The sequence below is a fragment of the Homo sapiens genome, chromosome 2 (genome assembly GCF_000001405.40).
Source record: "Homo sapiens chromosome 2, GRCh38.p14 Primary Assembly".
Taxonomy (NCBI): Eukaryota; Metazoa; Chordata; class Mammalia; order Primates; family Hominidae; genus Homo; species Homo sapiens.
The window spans coordinates 59,935,587-59,942,539 of record NC_000002.12 but is presented as its reverse complement, the minus strand read 5'-3'; positions in this window follow the sequence as shown (position 1 = coordinate 59,942,539).

Here is a 6,953-nt window from a genome sequence, read left to right as displayed (position 1 = left end):
ATTAATTATATCTAGAAAATAGGGTTGTTACAATAATTAAGTCAGTGACTACAAAGTGCCCATCAAAATGTCTAGCATATTGTAGAATGTGAAATAAGTATTTGCCATTTTTATTAATATTAAAAATAACCTAATATGCAAGATGACTAGATGTCCTCAAGCTTATGCATTTTATACTGTTGGAGTGGAGAACTACCCCAATTTGACATGATTTATTATACAAAATACAAAATACAACAAAGAAGGCAGCTGTCCTCTTATTCAGAGTAGTATGTTTCTTCCTGGAAAATCTCCTAATTTTTTCCAATTGGGAACAACAGATTAATATCAGTGAATTCCACGAGGGAAAGGAAGTTTTGAGAAATACAGTGGGTGGTAGCCTTGAGGTGTGAAAACTAAGAGGTGAGGGTGAGAGGGAGTCAATAAATAGATAAGCCAACTAAAATGTGCAATCGTGTGAGGTTATTTAGTGTGAGAAACAAACAGCTTCACATTATTTCATAGCCCCCCTTACTAATGAGATCGAGTTTCCCAAAGAAAGTTAGAGATAACCATAGCAAAGGCTGATATCCGAGGACAGTAGAAATTAATTAGAAACAAAAGACTCTCAACTTTTGATTCTGCACATGAAAGGCTTTATTTCTGGGAGTCACTTGATGATTCCTGTTTTGTAACTATGGTAATATGGCTGGACCCAGAGGGGTTCAAGACCTATAGCCAGCCTTGAGAGTATGGGAGTGCCTGAGCACATGCGTCAGGCAGATTGGAATCTGTCTCAAGCACTAGAGGATACTGACTAAGAGAAATAGCTTCAGAGTCAGACTGCCTGGGCTGAAACTCACTTTTTCCATTATTAGCCATGTGACCTTGGGCTAATCACTTATTTGTGCCTCAGTTTCCTCATCTGTAAACAGGAGTAATAATATTTTCTTCATGGCATTATTGTGAAGTTAAAAATGTTTAAACTATGCACAGTACATAAATTCAGTAAACAGTAGTTCAATGAATAGTGTCATTACCGATTCCTCCATTACTGTGTAAGTGAGAGGTAACTCAATTTTGCCCAGCCCTGAAAGCACAATATTATCTACCAAGGATAAGGCTTTGCAAGTAGCCAGGGATGAGCATCTTTCCTTCTGTCATAGGCCAAGATGGTAGGGGGCAATTGTAGAGCAACTCAAGCTGGAGAGATCTGGTCAGTTGAAGTCGAGGTGGGAGAGGAGAGGTGGTGATGAGAGATGCTCACAGAACCCAAGCAAGAGGCCTGCAGACATCATGGTATGTGCAGCCAGGTGAATCACTGAAGAGCATCAGAAGAACACCTGCTCCAGTGAGTTGAGATTGAGACCAATGAGTTCATTGCTGAGGTTGAAGGCAAGAAACTGAGCAGAGACAGGTTGAAAAAGGGTCAGGCAAGCCGAGACGTGGTGGTGAACACAGATCATGACCACAAGGTAGACTGTGGTTTGGCCAGCTGTCTTTCCAGGAAATCAAACCAAAAATCTAGAGGTCATTTCGACAACCTGTCACTCCATGTATTCCAATCCTTGCTTTTACCTCTCAAAGCATTTACTTTTTTCTTCATTTCCACCTTCAGCTCCACACTTCACCACCCCAAATCATCTTTTGCTTGGACTGGAAAAGACCCCAAAGTGATATCTCTGCTTTCATACTGCTTCCATCCTTTCTTTTTTTTCATCCTGCATCCAGAGGGACTTTTAAAAAAATCAATATGATCATATGTCAGCCCAAAAAACTTTTCATGATTCTTAGGACAAAACTGAAATTCCTTATTGAGTGTGGCCAAACTCTACATGTCCTACTGCCATGTCTTTTGCCAGGATCTCTGTGCTGTGCTTCAGCATCACTGGCCTTCCTTCAGTCCCTAGTCCCCAGCACAATGCACCCAGCTCTTGTGACTGCTGTTGCCTTTGCCTGGGGCACTCTTCCCCCTCCTTTGATCTACCTAACAGTTCATCCTCCCAATCACAAGTCAAGCATCAGGGAAATTATTCCCAATCTCCTGATCAGGTCAGTCTTCCCTTTCTGTTTTAGGCCCTTGTAGAGCACCATCGGTTTCTCCACTGTGGCACTTACAAAGTTGAAATTCCTTATTTACTTGCAAATCATTGGTTAATAAGCTCTATTAAAGCAAGAATCATGTTTTCATTTGCTCGACATTATATCTCTAGAGTATAATATGCTGTTTAGAATATACTAGGCGCCAAATAAGTATTCATTGACTGACTAAATGCATGCATGCATGAGTGAATGGGCACATTAATGAACAGCAGAGACTACAGCAGAATCAGGGCATGGGATTGTATAACAGTACTGGCTCATCAGGAGGCATCAACAGCTCAGTCCTCTTATCTGGGCATGGCTCAGATTTTCCCTAAACAGACCCATCCCTTGGGCTAACCCCTCAAGTCAGGAGGGGTCTTCATTCTTCTACAGGGTTTGGGAGTGTAGAGGTGGCATTCGGTTGGTTCATCTCTGCATCCTCAGTGCAGAGTGTTGCATTTAGTGGACCCTGAGAGTTTTTCCCTGAATGAATGAGTCCCTGAAGTGCTGCCCAGGGAGAAGCAATTCCCCACATTCTCATCTTCTCTACCATTTTACTGTTACACAGTTGTGCTGGGATGTCCAGTATCCATTGAGGTTGGTATAGGACCTCTCCTTGGGAGAGGAACTTGAACACTGTATCTTGATGTTTTAGGCCATTCATGATCAGAAGTTTAGCCTCTCCATCCCACTCCTGCCATGTTTTGACACGCCAAACCCAAGCTTTCTCTTCTGGGGTGAGATTGGACCAGGGTTGTTGTCATTTCCCTAGGATGCTAAGATTGGTAAGGAATTACCCCTCCAAGGCCTGGGTGTACCTCTGTTTCCTCAGTGACTCTGAGGAAGTGGCATTTTTGGAAAGGATAGACCCAGGCCCCGGTTTCCTGGCAGCCAGAACTGGAGGGATTGTGTAAGCTGAACCTTATACTTTCTCCCTGCACTTTACAAACATCTCATTCTTTATTTCTCTCCAACAACATGTGATGACCCTTTGGCAAGTCCTTAGTGCTAAATTTCCTTTTTATGGAAGCAGCAGTAAAAACTCGAGGGCCTTTGTTAGGCAGTGCTGGGCTGTTGCATGGATGTAAATCACCTGGGCATCGGCTGGATATGGCTGACAGATTTCTAGGTTCAGTGAAATCTTCCTTTCCCAAATAAATCAAATTCTGACCTATGAAGTTCTAGGCTAGCAAACACTTCCAAAGCCACTGAGTTTAGGCTGAGGTTGGAGCCTGCTCTGTTTGGGTGATGGGCACAGGTTTTGTGGTGAGCATGAAAGGAAAATGTACTAAGGTGGAGTTTTGCACATTTCCCATGTGCCTGAGGATTTTGGAACTTTTTGCCCTTGGTTCTTAAATGAAATGAGATGGAAAGCATATATAAAGGAAGCCGAGGAAGTTTTGAAATGAGCACGGAGAATCTGACCCAAGTTTTGGGTGGTAGAGAAGTGTAGAGTATGTGTGTGTGTGTGTAACTGTAAACTCTGTGACTTCTTGTTGAAGTTTCCAGTTTCTCCATAGCCAAAAAAAAAAAAAAAAAAAAAGAAAGAAAAATAAAGAAAGAAAGAAAAAGAAACTTCTATAGCTAAACCCTTATAAGGCATTTTTATGTGGAATGGTATTGAGAAGATCTGCCTTTAGGAGGACTTGGAATTTTAGCATTGTTCCCAAAGTGTTGGTTATCTTGTTGTGACTGAAGGTACCTTGAGGGTCAGAGGGACCTGTGTATTTGCTTTTGGACTTTGTATATCATTTCAAATGGTATATTATTTCTACTTATAACCCAAATTCCCAAGAGTCTTTTTACTATAGAGGTCTGAAACAGAAATTTTAAAGGGGCACGAGGTATCCAGAATGGGTAATTTAGGAAGACACTCACCCTACCCCTTACCTGCAGGAGAATCATCACAAATGGAAATGAGCATTCAGCATCCCTAAAGCCAGGTATCAGTCAGATGGAGGACTGCCTGCTTGAGGTAGCACTGACACTCACTAATGGCCCAGTTATCACAGAATAGCATATTGCCATTAACAACTGATTACACACATTATTGCGTAGCTCATAGCTAATGGGACCTGTCACAAGATCTCAGAAGACTGGGCTTATGATCTGCTGATAAATAGATATGTGGTACACGTGGGTCAGTCATTTCCTTGTTAAGGAGAAAGGAGGAAATGAAGTGACAGCTTCAGCAGACCCACATAGACTGTGCTACATGCCTGGCTGGAGTCTGGCATCAGGACATGAGCCTCAGGGTGGGCTGAGGTGCAGCAGGACCTGTCTCCATTCTGGTCCTGCAAATAAAAAGGGTGGATGTGGATGAGGGAATGCTAGGGGGATTTTTTTAAAAGTGCATTGGAACTTCAGCATTTCAAAGGAAGGTGTTCTCCTAGCGCTTCCCCTGGGAGGCTGGAACTCTTTCTAGAGGTGCTGTCTTTGTTCTTGTAATTCCTTTTTGGGATTTCCTGAGGGCGTGGTGTATTATTTTTGAGTGTCCTCAGTTGTGTCAAATCTTCAAAGGAGTAATTTGCAAATGTGAACTAAATAAAGATGGGAGTGTTACTGTGGACTAGTACTATATAATTTAAACCTTGGTTGATGTCTACTGCCCATCTTGATCCAATTATCCAAGGTTATAGCAAAGTAGGTCTGAGGTGTGCCACAAATGCAGATGTGTGACATTATTTTATTTAAATCAATTAAGTCTGTTTAGCTCAGGTCGATGAGAAATGCTGCCTCACTCTTTTTGGTAAAGGGTAGGGGTGAAGACAGTTCCTGAGGCCCTCTGGTATCAGTCCACCCTGGGTGCTGCTCACCCTAATCTGCATTGGCTCCTTGAACTCGTGAATGCAGTGCTTCCTCAGCACCATGCTTTTGCCAAGGCTGGGGGCCTTCCTGTCTAGGCTAAGCCTCTTTAATTTCATTATGCCAACACCCAGCCCAGAGGCCTATAGCCTCTGCATGGCATTGCAAGCGACCTAGATTCTAACTTCTCTCTAAACCTACAGGCCACCTTCTCAGTCTTGGGGAATCTCCAAATTCAAAGGCATTTTTTTCTTTCCCTGTGCTTCAAGGAGTGCAAACTTTTAGAAGAAAAAGCCTGGTAGGGACTTCTCTGCAGGCAACTTCTACTTTCAACTTTTAAAATCCTCCTCTAAAGTGAGGAATGCAAAGGACTTGGCTACTCATTGGGAACCAAGGAGGGGGAAATACAGTTAGAACAAAACACATAATAATATCTCCGCACATTATGCTGCTGTGATACTGATGGTGATGACATGATGATGATAAGAATGATGATTTATACTGGCTTATTGCTTTCCAATTGCAAACTACTACCTGGTGTGATTGCCACCATAAGTCAGGAAGATAGGATAGTATGCCAAAAGGAAAGGGAAACTCAGAGAAGTTTCTTGAGATGGCCAAGGTCACACAGCAAGTGAGTAGCCACAAGTCCTCATTTGTGGGTCCAACATTGTTTTCTTTGAAGATCACATGTTGCTCTTCTCTTTTTGGTGGACGCCAGAGTCTTCCGGGGGACAGTGACTTCAAGTGACTTAGAGACAATCAGATCCAGGACACCCAGGGATGTCAGTAGTGGGGACCCTGAGACTGGCTACAACCCTGCAAACTCTTTCTGCTCTCTGGTCAGAAGGGGTAGCTGTTAGGTCAGACATAATTTGACTCCCTGCCATAGGAGATGAGTTCTCCTAGAAAGGAAAGAAAGTTTATTTTGGTAATATTTTCTCCTCTGCATCAATCTTCCTAAATTTCTACTATTTTTTTCCTTGTACCAGGACTAGCTGTTTACCTAATTATTCTGCCAATGAAAGTGGTTAAGGGTTGGACAGAGGAGGCAGAAATAGATTGCTCTAGAAGGAAAGAGAAATGTTGTATTTTCCCAGAGAGACGCAGATTTATTTCAGTTTTAGTATCTCTTATTCAAATTCATCAGAAGTAATTAATGAAAGCTAGAAGAAGGCACGCACACACACAGAGACACACACACACACTCCTTCCTAGGATTTTTTCATTCTTACTTGAGTTATGTTGAGCTGTTTGGTCTATTGGTTCAGTACCCCAAGCCTAGTGCAGTATTGTCATCCCTTGCTTTACAACACAGTCATTATATCCCTAAACCACATTGTGATACACAGTGCCTTCTGTTTACGACTCCCGAAACTCCCACTCCATATATCACCTGCCATAAAACCCATCAAACTGCTGCTACTAAAATGGTGCACAGTGGTCTAAGCAGGAGCCAGGCAAATTGTGTGCTACCCTACTGTGGTTAATGAGAGTGAAAATGTGGTTAGGATCTTATTCAGGCGATGTTCATTTGCAGGGCCATTGTAGTGAGATGGCAAAGAAAGATTCTTTTGTTAAGTTGAGTGACAATATATTTTCTATTGTATGGAGTGGCTCAGTGCAGAGTTTGCCAAGTTATTTGTCAATTGTAAATAAGTCAAACTGTGACCTTGAGTGACTAGATTTTCATTACTTAGGGGTCTTGAAAGCTAATTAATATACTGAGGTTGTTATATCGAGTATCAGAAACCTGTTGCCAGATTTTAAAGTACAGTAGTGCAATTCGACTCTAAAAAAGACAAACAAAAGTTAAAATAAAATGTCCCTTTTCTGTATAATAGGTACAATTTATTGTATCTTCAGCCTAGGGATTTTTTTAAAAATGGAGATGGAGGAGAGGAGAAAGGGCATTGTACCTTTTGAATTTTTTGTGTTCTCCTGAAACTTGCACATATGCAGAAAATTCATAGCAATATCTGTAACCATCAATGAGTCACTGAAAGATTTGTGAGGATCTTCATTCAAAAATAATAAGAGCAATTAAACATGGCTTTGTTCTTTAAATAAGATTAATTCTAAGA